We start from the raw sequence: 20956 nt of genomic DNA, 5'->3' as shown, positions 1-20956 counted from the left end.
GTCCTAATAATAAAGTTTTTCTATCTGAGGATGCATTTACATCCTTCTTGAAATTAAATCTAGTCTATGTTAAATTTCTTTCGATGTGCTTCAGTGGAGTTTCAGTAAATCTAAACCAAATTCAACCTGATGTTCTAACTTTGGCAGCCAAAATTCATAAAATCTTGGTAGGATTCAACTAAGGGAAGGGACTCATTAACTGTGTGCTAAAATATTATATGCTATATGCACTAATTACAAAGGCTATCATGTGCTAAAGTGTAGAAAAAAGATTGATCTGAATGTGAAGAAAAGATCCATATTGGCTTGAACAATGCATAAGGATGTTAACTCATTAAAGTTTGTCCTACAGGCTTGCTCATACAGGTAGCCCATAACAGCTGCTTATTCAGTCTTACAGTGGAAGGAATGACACTTGAAGCTCTCTAGATAAACTCCGTAGGAATCAATTCAATTCTATTATTTCATAGAGAAGATGGGAACTAAACAACCTCAATTGCAAAACTCCATCTGGTAATATCAAGTCAATTTACCACTTACTGCATTCACAGCTTAGCATTTAACTCAGAGCTATCAAATAGTCAACCAAGGAATTGTCTGGCAATCATCCAGGGTACTTAGCAGCTTTGTTAAAAATGTTAAGACATAACAAAAAGGAATAGGTTAGTGTACAATATGCTTTCTATGACGATTAAATATTATATAGGATGTGAATGTATAAATATATGTGTATATCAGTGGTGTACTTAAGAGAGTTTGGACATATTTTGCATAATCCCACCTCACTATTGCAAACACGTATTCAGTAATATTCATGAAATAAATTATAATGACATAGAAAAAGTACAGACAGTAAAACCTCATAAATGAGCCCAAATATAAGACCCTCTGCTTTTTTCCTTTCTATCTGAGTGCAATATAACAGGACTTTGCGTAGCCATTTTGTCACAGCCTTTCTAAACATGGCACTAACAAATTTTTAAAATAAGAAAAAATTGGCTGGGCACAGTGGCTCACGCCTGTAATCCCAACACTTTGGGAGGCTAAGGTGGGCAGATCACAAGAGGTCAGGAGTTAGAGACCAGCCTGGCCAACATGGCGAAACCCCATCTCTACTAAAAATACAAACAAAAAATTAGCCAGACATGGTGGCACATACCTGTAATCCCAGCTACTAGGGAGGCTGAGGCAGGAGAATTGCTTCAACCTGGGAGGTGAAGGTTGCAGTAGCCAAGATTGTGCCACTGCATTCCAGCCTGGGTGACAGAGCTAGACTCTGTCTCAATAAAATAAAATAAACAAAATATTTAAAAATTAAATTTAGAAAAATGTTAAAAAAAAGAAATTTAAGTAGTAAAATAAAAATAAATAAATAAAACATGGCACTAACAATTCAAGGATACAACTTCATATTCTGGTGCTCTTGGGGTTACCACGTAGAACTTAGTTATTTTGAAGACCTTGCTGAAAAACATCAGTAACGGTTTAAAAAATATTACTAAAATGTTGTTTCATTTTTGACATGAGACTTCAATTTAAGTAGAAATCTCTCTTCCAGTGTGCTTTTGGTATCACTTTTAATGCGCTGTTAGTGTCCTTGCCCCACCTGCACCTCCAGGCCAACCTGTATTGTGTCATGAACATAAGCCACACCAGGCCACTTACAAAGGCATCAAGCCATGTACCAGTTTGATAAACTTTCCATTGACTTCTCTGTATTCATTAAGACTCAGCTGTTAGAAACATACCTACCTACCTTTTCCAAAAGCACCATCTCACCCGTGATAAAGCCACCATAAACTCAACTAACTTTTCAAAGTCAAATCTTAAATGGCCTATTTTACTCATGGCTGAAGTCACCTAATCAAGTCCTCACCAGGGCTGTGTTTTCCAACTGTTATTTTGAGCATCAAATTTCACTTCCTTTCTCTTTCTCAATGTATCTGCTCAGTGTATCACATGCTGAAGTTTAAATAGCTAATAAGTAACCCTAGCTTCCTGCCTGATTACAAAATAATTTAATAACAGAGGGACAGATCCAGCAAGTAGGGAGTGAAATATCACTTTCTTATTCATAAAGCTGACATCAGAATACATAGCAAATATCTGACAATGAAAGACTTGCTAATACTTTGCTTGATTAGACAAATTTGCTAGTCACAGATGTTTCAATGTAGAGTAACTATAAGGCCTGTTCCTAATACAGATAATAAAAAGTTGAAAATACCATAAATATTCAGCAAAACTAAACTTGTTATGTGAATCATGGACATGATTTTCAGCCATTTAAAGGAATGAGGCAGCTACAATTTGTGAGTATGTGTGTGTGTGTGTGCGCATGCATGTATGTATATGTATATACACATACATATACATATACATATATACACATACAAGCATATGTATGTGCACTGAATGACAGCATATTGAATGAAAGCATGCATACATATATGTATACACATACATGAACACATATATACACATGCTTTCATTGAGTTTATCTAAAGTCTTCCCATTCAGTATTAATGTTTCTGATCTTTGATTTTTCAAATATGCAACTATATTCTTAATGTCTTCTGGTTAAAATATACTAACAATAAATTTATTTAATTTGTTGTAATACTGTTTTCTGATTATCATTTCACATTTCAGCCATTTTTCTCACAGTGAGAATTCCTTTTTCTCAATCGTGTTTTTTAAAGCAGAAAATTGAGGCTCTTAAGCATTGGTTATTCACTTTAGTACACATTATAAAGTTTTGGATTAACTATTGCATGACTAAATGCACCAAAAAAACAAAAATGTTTGCCTTCAGACTTCGGATGCTTAATTTTAAAGTAAGCTGATCATGATGACATAGTATTTTTAGCTAATCTCTCACAGAACAAAAGCAGGGAAAGTTTAACTGTTAAAAACAGAGAAAGTAACTCATATTTTTAATAATCTTCTAGATGACATATTTTTATATTTTACTCACAAAGGTAAATAGATTATAATTGACATACGTCATAAATATCTGAAAAGAGCTGCTCTTAGGTATGAAAGGGTAACTCTATACCCTTGTCTTTTTGTTTGCCTTAACTTTCATGATTGCCAGTACTTTCCATCTTTCATTTCTTTACAGTGATAATTTTCACCATGTGCCTTTTTTGCAAACATTAATTCAGCTAAAACTAGACAACAAAATTTATAAATTCACTTTAACCAAGTACATCTTTATTAAATTATGACACTAACCAGAAACAAAGCCAGAAATCCAAGAGCCACTGACAATTCCTCTGCCTCATGTGACCCTCATCCTTCTCTCAGGAAACCTTGAGTCCTCTCATTGACTTATGAAAGATGGAAGATGCCGCTGGCTAAAACAAATATTGAACACTACTAACATTCAATGTCATATTTAGATCAAAACACCTAATATTTTCTTCCCATACCTCAATGTACTTTTTTCTGTATTCACTCCAAAGCATATTTTCTCAGTTTCAGAACTTGGTAATATGTTGTCCTCTTAGATTTATAACCTAGCACTCAACCCAAACAAACACATGCACACAAATACACACACACAGGCACACACTGTCTCTCGCATGCACACATATGCACACACACATTCTCTCTCACATATACACTCACACACACATCCTAAAATGCACATTCCCTCATGGTTTTGTCACACCCATTTTTTTCTCTCTCCCATAAACAGCTTTATCACCTTCTGCTTGTACTCAAGTTACTCCCTCTTCTGAAATTGCTGGTTTCTTATCTGCCTGTTAAAATTCCACCTGACTTTCCAGCCTCACCTCACTCCCTATTTCTCTTAAAAATATCTCCTATTTCCCCCATGTAAGAATAAAGATCTCCCTTCTCCATATTTTCTCAATGGTTTGAGATCTCAGGATCTGCTTCTAAGAACAAAATTAAGCTCTGCTAAGTATAAGGCGTTTACTTAGTAATGTATATTTACTAAGCTTATTTTGCCTAACCATGAGGCTTCTGTTGCAGATTAAGTAAAATAGGCAAGCCTAAAACCTTACAGGACAATGAAAAAGAAGATTTACAGAAGGAGTGTGTGGGTAGTCATAGTGTGAAGAGAAGAGGGATCAGAGGATAGAATAACTCAAGAGAGAAATTGGCACATCAGTTGGGAAAAGATGGTCTTTTGAACAAATGTTAGTGGAAAAATTGAATGTACACATGGAAAAAACAAAAATAATTTTTACCATCACACTACCACATATACAAACATTATTTCAAGAGGAATTGTAGATGTAAATCTGAAAAAAAAAATCTGCTATAACACTTCCACTAAAAAAATAAGAGAATACCTTTAAGGATGCCATTATTACTTTGGGTGAAAAAAAGTTTATTAACTTAAAAAGGCACTTGGCAAAAAAATAGATTAAAATGTTGATTGCATACAAGCTTAAAACTTCTATTCATCAAAGGATATCCTTTGGTAAGGGAGAAAGCAAGAAATGAAGTAGAAAAAATATCGTATGAATAACAATTCATAGATTATAAAAGAGTTAGGCAATATAAAGAACTATAACATATTTTAAAACTCCCACAAATAAATAAATTGAAAGATGACTAAATAGAAAACGAAATAGTCAAAAGGCAAAGAAAATGGGATTGAATCTCCAGGTGAATGCAAATTTAAACTGCAATGATAAATATACCTATATTCTCCACTAAATGGTAAAAAAATAAGGCTAACAATGCCAAATTTTGGAATTAAGGTGAAGTAATGTCAACTTACATAAATAAAAGTTTATATACTTATATACAGTGATAATATCATATAATATTAGCATATTTTTATAATATTGATATGGTTAGGCTGTTTCCCCACCAAAATCTCATCTTGAATTTCTACATGTTGTGGGAGGGACCAGTGGGAGGTAATTGGATCATGGGGGCAGGTCTTTCCTGTGCTGTTCTGTTCTCATAATAGAGAGATAAGTCTCATGAGATCTGATGGTTTTAAAAAGGGAAGGTTCCCGGCACAGTTTCTCTTCTGTTGTCTGCCACCATGTGAGACCTGCTTTTCACCTTACACCATGACTTTGAGGCCTCCCCAGCCGCGTGGAACTGTAAGTCCAATTAAACCTCTTTCTTTTGTAAATCGCCCAATCTCGGGCATGTCTTTATCAGCAGTGTGAAAATGGACTAATAAAAATATTAATATAAATTTGTAAATGTTAATACAACTCCTTTGGAAGGTTTTACCTGGCAGTTTGTACTAAATCTAAAAATTCATATATCTTCTATCATGACAATTCACCTTCTAGTATATATGAATAAAAATGTACACATTTGTTCACTAAAATATATGTAGAAGCGAGATCACAGCAATGCTATTAACAACCCACGTGTCCACGAAGAAGCAAACAGAAAATCCAATTGTGTTATATTCACACAATCATATACAGGCAGCTCTTGCTTTGCATGGTAATGCAAGACCTTCAAAAGGATCATGCAAGCTAGGACTGTGCCAAATGGTCATAATTATCAATAATAATAGTAGGAGTGTTATGGAACATATGGTTGCTCCATTACTTTTGCAAATATGTCAAAAATTTTAAAACTCTCTGTCAACTACAACTGTATATGGAAATGAAACATGCAGTGAAACTAGTATTTGTTTGGAATATTGTGATTTAAAGTATTAGATATGGAGAATTAAATATTATATTTCTTTGTAAAAGACTTATCACAAGTAGTTTGAATAGTGTTACCTTCTCATCACATAACTTATTCATAATATTTCTATGTCTTGGTGAATTCTCATACTTCTTTCTTCTTAAGAGTAGATATGCCCCTGATATTTCTCATTCCTGGAGCTTTTAATGTCATAAAATATGTCTGAGAGTTTCTCTAGTGTGATTTTGCTGATCACTTCCTCTTGGGCATCTCCATCCTCTCACACTTTCCTCATTTCTGTAAATAAGTCTGCCTTCACTAAGTTCTTGGAACTGGAATGGCAGCAGTGTCAACATTCCCTAGTAAGCTATTCATTCTGTAGCTCCACTGACATTCTATTTAGATTCTGCAAAGTTATTTTCACCATATAATAAAAGTGTCAGCCATGATATGTACAATTCAAAGAGCAAATGGATTAGTTTTATGTTGCTGCAGTAACATATTACCAAAAATGTGGAGGCTTAGAACAATACAAACTTATCATCTTTACACTTTTGTGAGTTAAAAGCCTGACACAGGTCTCAGTGGGTTAAAATCAAGTTGTGTGCAGGACTGGGTTCCTTTCTGGATGCTCTAGGAGAGAAGAATCTGTTTCTTGTCCTATTTCAGCTCCTAGAGGCTGCTGATACACCTTGGCTCATACTCTACCCCTTTATCTTCAAAGCTAGTAACATTGCATCTTTCTGACCATTCTTCCATAGTCACATTTCCCTCTAAGCTTGCTGTGGAAGGTTATTCATTTGTAAGATCATATACGATAAGATGCACTCACCTTGTTAAGCTTTCTTTGACTGTCACCTTCTGTCTTCCTCCTATAAAAACCTTGTGATTACATTAGGCCCAGCTGGATAATTCAGGATATACTCTCTAACTCAAGGTTTGTAATTAAATTACATCTGCAAAGTACCTTCTGCCATGTAAAGTAACATGTTCACAGGTTGCAAAGCTTAGGACATTGACATTTTGGGAAGTGTATTCCACCTAACACAAGAAGTAAACACTCCACTTTGACCATACACAACTTTTTGTTCCTAGAGCGAATAAAATAAAATATGTTAAAGAGATGTTACTTTGTTTGTTTTATTCATTGTACATTTTCAATGTGGTCTGTACCACAATTTCACACAGACCCAGGTTTCCTCCTAGCATCGCTTTGCTATTGCCATTTTTGAATCTCCTAATCATAATCAATTTCACTTCCAGCATTCTTGTGTTTTTCTTTTCCTTTGCTGCACTTTTGTCTTTGTTGGACCATTCTCTCCCTTGATTATACTTTTTTTTTTCTTGTAAAATGCCACATGGATTTATCACTGGGGTTACCAGTGATAAAGGAGGCAACACAACTATGTACTTTGCTATCTGTGAATGCATTAGATAAGAGATCCGCAGGAACAATCACTGCCAGACTTTGAAAGTCCATCCCCCGACTATGGTGCTCATTTGCTATTTATTTACTGATTAGTGGATGAAAGGGCTGACAGTGAATTTTGCACTTTATGCAAATACTCACACTTCATAGACCGTGGAAAGTGAAAATGGAACCATGTTGTTAGCGATTGGTGTCATGTACCTAAACTGTGATAACAAATTTGTGTATATTGGAACCACGTAGAGAAAGAACAGTCTGAACTATAGCCTTGACAGTGAACAAATGAGCAAGGAAAATGGAGTTCTAGTCTTAGCCTATTATGAATTTAAATCTAACCTTGTGAAAATCAACTGACTTGTCTAGACATCTGGACCTCATTAGTAAAATGCAGGATTTAGATGAAATGATCCTTAATGTCCTTCCAAAATTCCAAGTTTCTATAATTCTTTGACTAAAGCAAGATGCTTTCTTCATTGGATGCACTAATAATAGACTCTCACCAGACTGGAAGATGATTTATACAATTCAGTGACAAGAAGATTTGTGTTCCTTTACACAAAAGAAACAATTATCAGTAATGTTTGTTGAAAAATAGATAAATGTTATGTTTACACTCTTTGATTTAAACTGTAGTTCTCACAATAGGAATAAAAAATATGAAATCTTCTATGTTAAACATTAGCTGTAAAACAATATCAAAATTTGGCACCCTGACATTCATAAAATGATTTCTGTCTCACTGTGATAGAAACTATGATTTGTTACATACTCTGCTATGCAACCACTTTGATCTGGGCTCCAAGTAAAAGTTCACATTTTCTAATAGGTGAGTATAAAAGTTATGATAATTTTTTTTTCAAATGAAAGTTGGACTGTAGCAGTTGTACCTATATAATGGCAACCAATGAATGAAAAAGGATGAAACATTCTAATAGGGTTCCAATATATTGACAGAGTAACTGTACAGGTGTGATAGGTTTTAATCTTCACTTATACTATTTCTATACAAGAGAATTATTTTTCAATTACCAGCCATAAAAAAAAATACGTGACAAACATTCTACCTTCTGTACTACCTCACTCCCTCTCTGTAACCCCAGGAAAGAGTGAAATACCTTACTGGTGAGTTTGGGAGGGAAACATTGAACTTTTCCTTTTCTGTTTGTGTTTACCCTTTACCCTTTTCCGTCTGCATTTTAGACTCAGACTGGCTGTTAAAGCATCCTCTACTACTCCATTTCCTAGCATTTGCTGCAAGATAGTTTCCACCCATGGACAAGGCTATGCAGGAGTGGTTATGAGCAAGCCCACCTGCCCATAGAAAAATAGCCATATTCTCAATCTGTATTACTAATAAATTAGCATTTGGGTCTCTGCCTTTTTGTGTGCCATATTTCTCAGTGGTTCTGAATTAAGGAGGAAAAATGTGATTTATTTGCCACATAAATTCTCAATGCTAATAAACTTTCCAAAGTATAAAAACAATTGTGATGTCTTATTGCAGGAGAAAAGTCTCACTTACATTCCTCAAGCTAAAAAAGCAAGAAAACAAAAGTGGATTGTCCAGGAAGCTGGGCTTCAAACATTTGAAATATTTTTAAGGAGAAAACATGTTTGCTCCTTTTGAATTTCCAGCTTTCCCAGGCAGTAAGCTCCATGAGCACAAAGTACATAGCTTATTATGATTTCATCAAAAACTTCCAGAATAGTACCTTATCTATAATCAATGTTCAAATAATATTGTTAATATTAACCTCCTTGTCATTGTCTTCTACTTTAAAAAATTCTGGGTTTTTTTTATATGAATCCATGTTTTAAATACTTTCATGCTAAATTTTCTGATAAAAATGCATACAATAGGGGTGATTTCAAATTTTTAAATATTTAAGAGTATATTTTATGTCTATGTAGTTCAGATTTTATTTGTGCATTTAAAACAGGATTTTAGTTGTAATGTGCTTCTGATACTGATAATTATTCAGGAGGTAATAAGGTATAATATAAAATTTGTTTGAACTTGTTAAATCAAATAAACACATTTAAAGAAAAAGACACTTGAAAAAATTAAAATTAAAATTAAAACTAGCATTAACTATGTAATCAAACTTAGCCTATATTTTTATAATTTTTACTTCTTTTCGTTTATGCAAGTTGACAAAATTATTTTTCTCAATATAACATTAAAAATATAATTGCTCAAAAATAGTTTATCACTAATATAAAAGTTTGAATACAATTAGAATTTTTAAAGTATAAGGCAAAAATTTATCCAAGAAATATGACTTCAGGGATAAAAGTAATAGTGTGTGAATGTGATTAATAAATGTAAATAATAAAAATTGTTTTGAGTATTTAGTATATTATTTTGCTAATCTTTATCACCATCCTTTAGTGGATTCACTTGATTACTTTCCTTAGAGTCTTATTTCAGCCCACATTAGATTCTCATATTTTCAAACCAAAGGAAAGGATTTTCATTCTTAGGAAATACTATTACCAATGTCAAGGCTTAAAGTCTGAACAACTATACAACCACAAAATAGAAAACCTGGAGGAAACAAATAAATTTCTGGAAAGACACAACCTCCCAGTACTGAAACAGAAAAAAATAGAAATGCTGATTGGATTAACAATAATCAGTAACATTGAATCAAACAAAAAATCTCCCAACAACACTGATAAAAAGCCCCCGACCAGATGGAATCATAGCTGAATTTTACCAGATGTACAAAGAGCTGGTATCAATTCTGCTGAAATGGCTCCAAAAAATTAAAAAGAAGGGAAACCTCCCTGACTCATATTATGAAGCCAGTATCACCCAGATATCAAGGCTGGCAAGGAGGCAACGAAAAAAAATGCAAACCATAGACCAACATTCCTGATGAACAGAGATGGAAATGTCCTCTACAAAATACTATCAAACTGAATTCAACAGCACATTGAAAACATAATACCCTATGATCAAATGTGTCTTATTTCAGGGATCTAAGAATAATTCAACATATGTAAATCAATAAATGTGATTCACCACATAATTAAAAACAAAAACCATGTAATAATTTCAATAGATGCAGAAAAAGTATTAAAAATGTAGCATCCCAGTGGAGGGGGCAAAATGGGCAACGAGAAACAGCTCTGGTCTCCAGCTCCCAGCGAGATCAGTGCAGAAGGTGGGTGATTTCTGCATTTCCAACTGAGGTACTTCACGCCAGTCAGAATGGTGATTATTAAAAAGTCAGGAAACAATAGATGCTGGCAAGGCTGTGGAGAAATAGGAACACTTTTACATTGTTGGTGGGAGTGTAAATTACCTTGACCATTGTGGGAGACAGTATGGCGATTCCTCAGGGACCTAGAACCAGAAATACCATTTGACCCAGCAATCCCATTACTGGTTATATACTCAAAGGATTATAAATTATTCTACTACGAAGAAATATGCACAAGTATGCTTTTTACAGCACTATTTTACAATAGCAAAGAATTGGAACCAACCCAAATGTCCATCAATGATAGACTGGATAAAGAAAATGTGGCACATATACACCATGGAATACTATGCAGTCATAAAAAAGAATGAGACCATGTCCTTTGAAGGGACATGGATGAAGCTGGAAGCCATGATTCTCAGCAAACTAACACAGTAACAGAAAACCAAATACCACATGTTCTCACTCATACATGGGAGTTGAACAATGAAAACACATGGGTACAGGGATGGGAACAATACACACTGGGGCCTGTTGGGGTTTGGGGGGCAAGGGGAGAGAGAGCATTAAGGCAAATACTTAATGCATGCTGGGCTTAAAACCTAGATGACAGGCTGATAAGTGCAGCAAACCACCATGGCACATGTATAGCTACATAACAAATCTTCACAAACTGCACAGGTATCCTGGAACTTAAAGTAAAAAAAAAAAATAGTATCCCTTCATGATAAAAGTATTCAAGAAATTAAAAATAATAGCAGCCATTTCTTACAAACTCACAGCCAACATCATATTGAATGGGCAAAAGTTGAAAGCATTTCCCTCAATAACTGGAACAAGACAAGGATGTCCACTCTCACCACTCCTATTCAACGTGTTACTGGAAGTCCTCACCAAATAAATCAGACAAGAGAAATAGAGAAAAGGGATCCAAACAGGAAAAAAGGCAGCCAAATTATCTGCTGACTGATGATGTGATCTTATTCCTAGAAAACCCTAAAGACTCTTCCAAAAGACTCCTAGATTTGATTAAAAATTCACTAAAATTTCAGGATACAAAATCAATGTAAAAACATTAGTAGCATTTCTATACACCAATAACAAGCCAGTTGAGAGCCAAATCAAGAAGACAATTTTATTTATAAATATGACAAAACAAACAAATAAATAAAATACTTAAGAATACAATTAATGGAAGGAGGTGAAAAATATCTACAAGGAAAATTACAAAGCACTGGTGAAATAAATTGTAGATGACATAAACAAATGAAAAACTTTTCATACTCATAGATTGGAAGAATGAATAATGTCAAAATGACCATTCTACCCAAAGCAATCTACAGATTCAATGCAATTCCTATCAAAACACCAATATCATTTTTCACAGAATTAGAAAGAGCAATCCAAAAATTCACATGGAACAACAACAACAAAGCCCAAACAGCCAAAGCAATCCTGAGCAAAAGAAACAAACCTGGAGGCATCATATTACCTGACTTCAAATTATAATACAAGCCTACAGTAAGAAAACAGCATGGCACTTGTATGAAAATTGATGCATTGATCAACAGGACAGAATAGAAAACCAAGAAACAAAGCCACACACCTACAGCCAACTGATCTTTGACAAAGCCAATAAAAATACACTTTGGGGAAAGGACACCCTGCTTAAAAAATAGTGATGGAAAAATTGGTGAGCAATATGCAGAAGAATGAAACTGGACCCTATCACTTACCATATACGAAAGTTAACTCAAGATGAGTTAGAGTCTTAAATGTATTACCAAAACCTGAAGCTATAAAAATACTAGAAGAAAACCTAGAAAAAACTCTTCTGGACCTTGGCCCAGGCAAAGAGTTAATGACTAAGCCCTCAAAAGCAAATGCAACAAAAACTAAAATAGACAAATGGTACTTAATTTAACTACAAAGCTTCTTCACAACAAAATAAATAATCAACAGTGATCAGACAAGCTAAGAATAAGAGAAAATATTTGCAAACTATGCATATGACAAAGGGTTAATATCTAGAATTTACAAGGGACTTAAGCAACTCAACAACAGCAACAAAAACAAATAACCCCATTAAAAAGTGGGCAAAGGATATGAACAGACATTTTTTCAAAAGAAGACCTACAAATGGCCAATAAGCATATTAAAAAATGCTCAACTTCACTAAACATCAAATAAATGCAAATCAAAATCAAAACGAGACACCATCTTATGCAGTCAGAATGGCTATTATTAAAAAGTCAAGAATAATAGATGTTGGTGAGGATACGGAGAAAAAAGGATGCTTATACACTGTTGGTGGGATGCAAATTAGTACAGCCAGTATGGAAAACAGTATGGCAATTTCTCAAAGAACTAAGCATAGAATTACTATTTGATCTAGTAATCTCACTATTGGGTATCTACCCAAAGGAACAGAAATCATTACATCAAAGAGATACCTACACTTGTATGTTTATCATAGCATTCTTTACAATACCAAAGATATGGAATCAACCTAAGTGTTCATGATCAGATGATTGGATAAAGACAATGTGGTACAAATATACCATAGAATACTACTTAGTCATAGAAAAGAATGAAATCATGTCTTTTGTGGCAACAGGAATACATCTGGAGGCCATTATCACAAGTGAAATGACTCAGAAACAGAAAGACAAATAGCAAATGTTCTCTGATAAGTGGTAGCTGAATAATGTGTACACATGGACATCGAGTGTGGAATAATAGATACTGGAGAATTTGAAAGGTTTTGAAAGTAGGCAGCAGGTGAGAGATGAGAAATTTCCTAATGGGTACAAGGTACACTCTTTATGTAATGGCTTCACCACTATGCAATATATCTATGTAACAAAAATGCCATTATACCTCCTAAATCTATAAAAAATAAAAATTAATTAGATATTAATGATATGTCATATGATCAAATATTAAAAATAAATGGAATATACTATAATATACTCTTGTTATAAATCATAATTGGTAAGTATCTACTTTTCAATGACCAAGAAAATGTTGTGTTTTTAATCAATCACACAAAACAAACCAGATGATTATTTAAAATATTTATTTTGTCAATATTTTAACATAATAAATATCAGCATAATTTAAAATTTAGGGACTTATTTCTGCAAATAACCCAGAAGCTGGTGAGAGGCATGAGGGGTATGTAGCATACCCATCACCCCCAACCTGGCTGCCAGGCACTGAAGAGCAGCAACAAGGCTTCTCCTTTCCCTGACTATAATGCATGGGAAAAACACACACTTGAGCAGAGCTTGTTTCATTCGAGATTCATAAGGTCTTCTCCATATTATATCTGTTATTATTTGGAAGGCAGAGCATTCAGTTGTTCATTTTAACATAACTTTTTTTTTCTCCCAGGATACAATGTTTATATCCTTATTTATAAGCATTTTTTAAGTACAAGTACTTATTTAAAGATCTTTCCCAAGGAGGCTTTCTTAGGAAAATATTTTAAAAACACATTTTGTAGGAAGTAATACATTTCTGTTAAAGTCTGTATTTCAATTCTGCGCCCACTGGGATCTTAACAAGATCTTATTGGTGTATGTGTTCAGTATTTCATTATTCTGTTTGCATAAATAATTTTACATTTCTTTTATTTTTTGATACATGGTGACTAATACAATCCTATAGGTTTTGTGTTAATCATGTAGGTAATATTTTACTATCTAACCAACTTAGAGCAAGTTTGAACAGAAGAGTCTAAAATCATACTGTCATGTTGCTTTCCCTAAAAATAAAAAGGTGATTTTATAAAAATATACACTCTAAATTATTCTTTTTATGATATAAAAATGCACACTGCTTGAGCTGACATAATTAAATTGCCTATGTACCTAGATGATTTTTGGTAAGAAAAAGAAAACCCTGGAGCATTTAAATGATTTGCTACATTCATTTAAACAGGGTATTCAATAGTGCCTAGCCATACATATTCATTCTTTCTGCTCCTGATAGCAGGAATAAAGGTATTAACTTTTTAGAGTGATTTTTAATGCAATAAATTTGTTATTTTTTTCTGTTTAAAATACTACCCCCAGGGGGATTGCAAATATTATAATTCTATATGGTTACCTCTTTATTACAAGAGTTACTTATCTTCCCACTCATGAGTAACCATGCTTACATCAACCACACTTGAAATGTAATATTTTTATTCATTTTAGTATCAAATTAGAAATCATCCATCTTACAATATCTGCCAGCAAAATGTTTCCTCTCTCTTAAACCAGTAATTTCAATGTATGATTAATCTATTACTCTTCATTCTTCATGCCTGGCTTATCTCTGTTGTAATTTTCTTGTTGTTTCTTATCCACGTGTGTACTATACTTATTATTACATGTATTATACTTCAGCGATGGCAGAATATAATTAATACTCCTGTTATTTTTAATCATTTTAATATGCTGATACTTATGTCTATTTTATTGTTACATTGAGCATAAAAGGACTAGCAAAGAAAAATTCTATAATTTTTTTTTTTTTTGAGACAGAGTCTCGCTTTGTCGCCCAGGCTGGAGTGCAGTGGCGCAATCTCAGCTCACTGCAAGCTCCGCCTCCCGGGTTCAGGCCATTCTCGTGCCTCAGCCTCCCGAGTACCTGGGACTACAGGCGCCCGCCACCACGCCCGGCTAATTTTTTTGTACTTTTAGTAGAGGCGGGGCTTCAACATGTTAGCCAGGATAGTCTCGATCTCCTGACCTCATGATCCACCCACCTAGGCCTCCCAAAGTGCTAGGATTACAGGCGTGAGCCACCACACTGCCGAAAAATTCTATAACTTTTTTTTTCTAAAAACTTTTGATAAAAATGCACAGGACTAGAAGTCTTGGATCTTTAAAGATACTATACACAAATGTTTCAAGAGTGAAAATTAAATTTAATTTTAAGAACTTAAAAAAGAGGGAGCTTTAGATCAGCTTAGTTAAAATATAGTACATTAATATTTGATATATAGATGTATTTTTTTTTCTTTTTGAGACGGAGTCTAGCTCTGTCGCTATCAGGATGGTTTCGATCTCCTGATCTCGTGATCTGCCTGCCTTGGCCTCCCAAAGTGCTGGGATTACAGGCGTGAGCCACTGTGCTCAGCCTTAATATGCTTTTTAAAAAATGTCTATAGACTGCTCAGACGCCATTAACTAAGAAAGGTATAATCACTTTTAAACTAATGTAAAAGTTAGGAATTGAAAAAGAAAAGTATAGTCTTCAGGAAAGTAGTGGAATAAGAAACTAAAATTGTATCCCTTCAAAATAGGCAATTAAATTAAATACTGGGAAAAGCTGTCAGTACAAATTTTGGGGAGCACGGAAAATTAACCAAAGGTTTGCAACAACCAGTGCTTGCTTAAGAAAAACAACTGAATCTTGATAAGAACAGTGAAATGTGTGGCATTTTAACTACCCCCATGCTCATCTCCCACTGTTCAACTGGTAGTATTGGAAGTAGCAGCTCACATTTCCAGTACCATAGGAGAAGATTGGACCTCATTAACGAGCAAGTGTAATTTTTTTTTTTTTCATCTGTGTGTTGGTTCCTTGGAAGACTGGCTCAAAGGGCTTATCTTTATTTCACCTGACTCAGAACTTGCCCAGCGCTAAAGCTGCCACCTAAAAGGAAATGAAAGGATGCATATGTTTAAAGCATGTATAGGCAAATATTTTAATTGTTTCTGTGTGTGGTTAGAAAACAATTGAGCCACACGACAGACTAACTTAAAACTTGGGAGGAAAGTCTGGGAAATGAGATGTCTATGAGTAATTTGAAAAACTCTTCAGAGGATGTAATTTCCAGAGTTGCTAAATTATAATATTCAAAATATCCAGTCCCCAACCAAAAAGACTGAACATGCAAAGAAATAAGAAATTATTGCCCATATTGAGGAAGAAAAAAGTAGTAAATAGAACTGTCCAAGGGGAAGCCCAGAACTTAGATTTTCAAGACAAAAACTTTAACTCAGCTATTTTAAACATTTTTAATGAGCTAAGGAAACAATGTCTAAAGAGAAAGACAAATTGGAACACTGTCTCAAAAAATATAGAATATTAATAATGATATTTAAATAATTAAAAATTTACATAGGAATTAAGAAGTTGAAAAGTATAATAACTGATATGAAAAATTATATAGAGGGGGCTCAATAGCAGACTCAAGCAGACAGAATAAAGAATCAGCAAAACTGAAAGTAGATCAATTGAGATTATCCAGACTGAGGAACAGAAAAAAAAAACAAAACACCAGAGAATGAAAAAGAAAAAAAAAACAAAAAAAAAAACTGAAGAAAGTCTTGGAGACTTCTGTACCAATTCATTCATAATGAAAATCCCAGGAGGAGAGAGAAAAAGGGACAGAAAGAAATTTGAAGAAATAATGACTAAAGATAATCATAATTTGATGAAAAATGTTAATCTACACATCAAAATGCTCAATGTACTCATAGCAGAATAAATTCAAAGAAATATATAACTAGATACATCATAATTAGACTTTCAAAAGCCAAATACATTGAAAACATCTTGAAAGCAGCATGAAAAGATAATCATCACATACAAAGGATCTTCAATGAGATTAACAACTAATTTCATGTCAGAAAACATAGAGGTAGTGGGATGAAATATTTAAAGTAGTAAAAGAAAAGAGTCACGGAAGAATTCTATATCTGGCAAAACCATTCTTCAAAAATGAAGGAAAAATCAAAACATTCCTAGATAAAAACAGAGTTTATCACTAGCATATCTGCCATACAACAAATTCTTTTTTTTAGTTTTATTTTTCCATAAGTTATCGGGGTACAGATTGCATTTCGTTACAACAAATTCTTTTTTTTATTTAATTTTTTTATTTTTTTAATTTTATTTTTCCATAAGTTATTGGGGTACAGTCGGTGTTTGTCTACATGAGTAAGTTCTTTAGTGATGATTTGTGAGATTTTGGTGCACCCATCACCTGAGCAGTATACACTGCACTGTATTTGTTGTTGTCCTTTATCCCTCGCCCCCCCCCCACTCTTCCCCCAAGTTCCCAAAGTCCACTGTATCATTTTTTTTCAATGCTACTTAATGCTTTTTATTTAGAGATGACGTGTTGGCTTTCTTTTTTTTTATTATTATACTTTAAGTTCTGGGATACACGTGAAGAACATGCAGGTTTATTACATAGGTATACACTGCCATGGTGGTTTGCTGCACCCATCAACCTGTCATCTACATTAGGTATTTCTCCAAATGCTATCCCTCTTCTAGCCTCCTACCCCCAACAGGCCCCAGTGTGTGATGTTCCCCTCCCTGTGTCCATGTGTTCTCATTGTTCAACTCCAACTTATGAGTGAGAACATGCAGCATATGGTTTTCTGTTCCTGTGTTAGTTTACTGAGAATGATGTTTTTGACCTTCATCCACGTCCCTGCAAAGGACAAGAATTCATCCTTTTTTATGGCTACATAGTATTCCATGGTGTATATATGCCACATTTTATTTATCAAGTCTATCACTTATGAACATTTGGGTTGGTTCCAAGTCTTTGCTATCGTGAACAGTGCTGCAATAAACATACGTGTGCTTTGCTATCATAAACAGTGCTGCAATAAACATATGTGTGCATGTGTCTCTAGAGCAGAAGGATTTATAATCCTTTGGGTATATACCCAGTAATGGGATTACTGGGTCAAATGATATTTCTGGTTCTAGATCCTTGAGGAATCACCACACTGTCTTCCATAAAGGTTGAACTAATTTATACTCCCACCAACAGTGAGAAAGCATTCCTATTTCTCCACTTTCTCTCCAGCATCCGTTGTTTCCTGACTTTTTAATGATTGCCATTCTAACTGGCATGAGATGGGATCTCATTGTGGTTTTGATTTGCATTTTTCCAATGACCAGTGATGATGAGCTTTCTTTCATAAGTTTGTTGGCTGCATAAATGTTTTCTTTTGAGAAGTGTCTGTTCATATCCTTTGCCCACTTTTTGATGCGGTTATTTTTTTCTTGTAAATTTGTTTAAGTTCCTTGTAGATTCTGGATATTATCCCTTTATCAGATAGATAGATTGCAAACATTTTCTCCCATTCTGTAGGTTGCCTGTTCACTCTGATGATAGTTTCTTTTGCTGTGCAGAAGCTCTTTGTTTAATTAGATTCCATTTGTCAATTTTGGCTTTTGTTGCCATTGCTTTTGGTGTTTTAGTCATGAAGTCTTTGCCCATGCTTATGTCCTGAATGATATTGCCTAGGTTTTCTTTTAGGGTTTTTATGGTTTTAGGTCTTACATTTAAGTCTTCAATCCATCTTGAGTTAATTTTTGTATAAGGTGTAAGGAAGGGGTCCAGTTTCAGTTTTCTGCATATGGCTAGCCAGTTTTCCCAACACCATTTATTAAACAGGGAATCCTTTTCCTATTGCTTTTGTAAGGTTTGTCAAAGATCAGATGGTTGTAGATGTGTGTCACACATTGTATCATTCTTTTGCCTTTGCACCCCCTTAGTTTAGCTCCCACATATCATATCAGTGAGAACATACGATGTTTGGTTTTCCATTCCTGCGTTACTTCACTTAGAATAATAGTCTCCAATCTCATCCAGATCATTGCAAATGCTGTTATTTCATTCCTTTTTATGGCTGAGTAGTATTGCATCATATATATATATATACATATATATATATATGTATATATATATATATATATCACAGTTTCTTTATCCACTCGTTGATTGCTGGGCATTTGGGTTGGTTCCACGATTTTGCAGTTGTGAATTGTGCTGCTATAGACATGCGCCTGCAAGTATTTTTTTTGAATGATGCCCTACAACAAATTCTAAAGGGAGTTCTTAGGTTGAAATGCAAGGACAGTAGACGTTAACTCAAATCTGAATGAAGGAATAAATAACAAAGTAAAAGAAACTACATAGGTAAATAGAAAACACTGAATAAATATATATGTGTTATAATTCCTTTTTATTTCACCTAAATTAAAAACTAACTGTATAATGCAATAATTATAAGTCTTTGTTGGCCACACAATGTACAAAGATGAATTGTGATGATACCAGCACCAAGAAGGGACAGATCTATATGGGAGTAAAATTTTTGTATTATGGAAATTGTTACTAATCCAAGCCAGATTGTTATAAATTAAGGTGTTATTTGTAATACACAACAAAACCACTAGGAAAATAACTCAAAATTTATAGAAAAAGCAATGACAGGGAAATTAAAACTTATACACTAGAAAATATTTAATACAAAAAATGCAGTAAGAAGAACAAGAAACCAAAGGAGAGAAGATACAGAGACAAGAAAGAGTGCAATAGCATAAATAAGTCTTTTTAAAGAAATTGCATTAACTGTAAACAATTAAATTTTCCAATAAAAATACGTAGCTTGGTAGAATGGATTTTTCAAAAGATCTATTTTATGCTGTCTACAAGAAACTCATTTAGATCCAAAGACACAAATAAATTGAAATTAAAAGAATAAAAAAAGATATTCCATTTAAATAGAAAAGGTCTGCTTATGTTAAAATTATATATAATGAACTTTAATATAAAATTGTTACTAGAGAAAAAGAAGGGCATCATATGATGATACAGTCAATCCATTAAGAATATGTAACAATTATAAACATATATGCAGCTAACAATAGAGTCCCAATATACAAAAAGTAAAAACTGATAGAAATGAAGGGAAAAACACCATTTAACAAAAATAGTTTGAGACTTCAATACCCTTCTTTCAGTAATGGAAGGAAGAATTAGAATGAAGAAAAGCAAGAAAATAGAAGACTTGAATATTATTAAATATGAACTAGACTTAGTAGATATATACCTAATAATCTATCCCCCAAAAAGCAAAATACACATTTCTCTAAAGTGTACATTGAACATTCTCCAAGTTAGAACGTTTTTAAGGCTAGAAACAAGTTGCAATAAATTTTAAAATATTATAATTATTAAAAGTTTATTTCCTAACCACAATTGAAAAAAATTATAAATTAACAGAAAGAAATTTGGAAAATTCAGAAATATGTGAAAATTAAAAAACACGTTTTAAAATAATCATAGGTCCCACAAACAAATTAGAAAATGCTTAGAATAATGAACTCCAGCTCCATCAATGTTGCTGTAAAGTAAATGATTTTATTCTTTCTGTGGCTACGTAGTATTCCATGGTGCATATGCACCAAGTTTTCTTTATCCAGTCCACCATCGATGGTCACCTAGTTTGATTCCATGTCTTTGCTATGGTGAATTGTGCTTCAATGAACATATGAGGGTATGTGTCCTTTTGGTAGACTGATTTATTTTTCTTTGGGTATATACCCAGTAATGGGGTTGCTAAATTGAATTGTAGCTCTGTTTTAAGCTCTTTGAGAAATCTCCAAACTGCTTTCCACAGTGGCTGAACTAATTTGCCTTCCCACCATTCCCTTCTCATCACAGCCTTGCGAGCATCTATTATGTTTGACTTTATTAATAGCCATTTCGAGTGGCATAAGAATGTCATTTTGTGGTTTTGATTTACATTTCTCTGCTGATTAGTGATACTGAGCATTTTTTCATGTCTCTTGGCCACTTGTATATTTTCTTTTGAGACAAATCTGTTTATGTTTTTTGCCCAATCTTTAATGGAGTTATTTA

This window comes from Homo sapiens, chromosome 4, assembly GCF_000001405.40.
Source record: "Homo sapiens chromosome 4, GRCh38.p14 Primary Assembly".
Taxonomy (NCBI): Eukaryota; Metazoa; Chordata; class Mammalia; order Primates; family Hominidae; genus Homo; species Homo sapiens.
Note: the sequence above shows the minus strand (reverse complement) of the source record.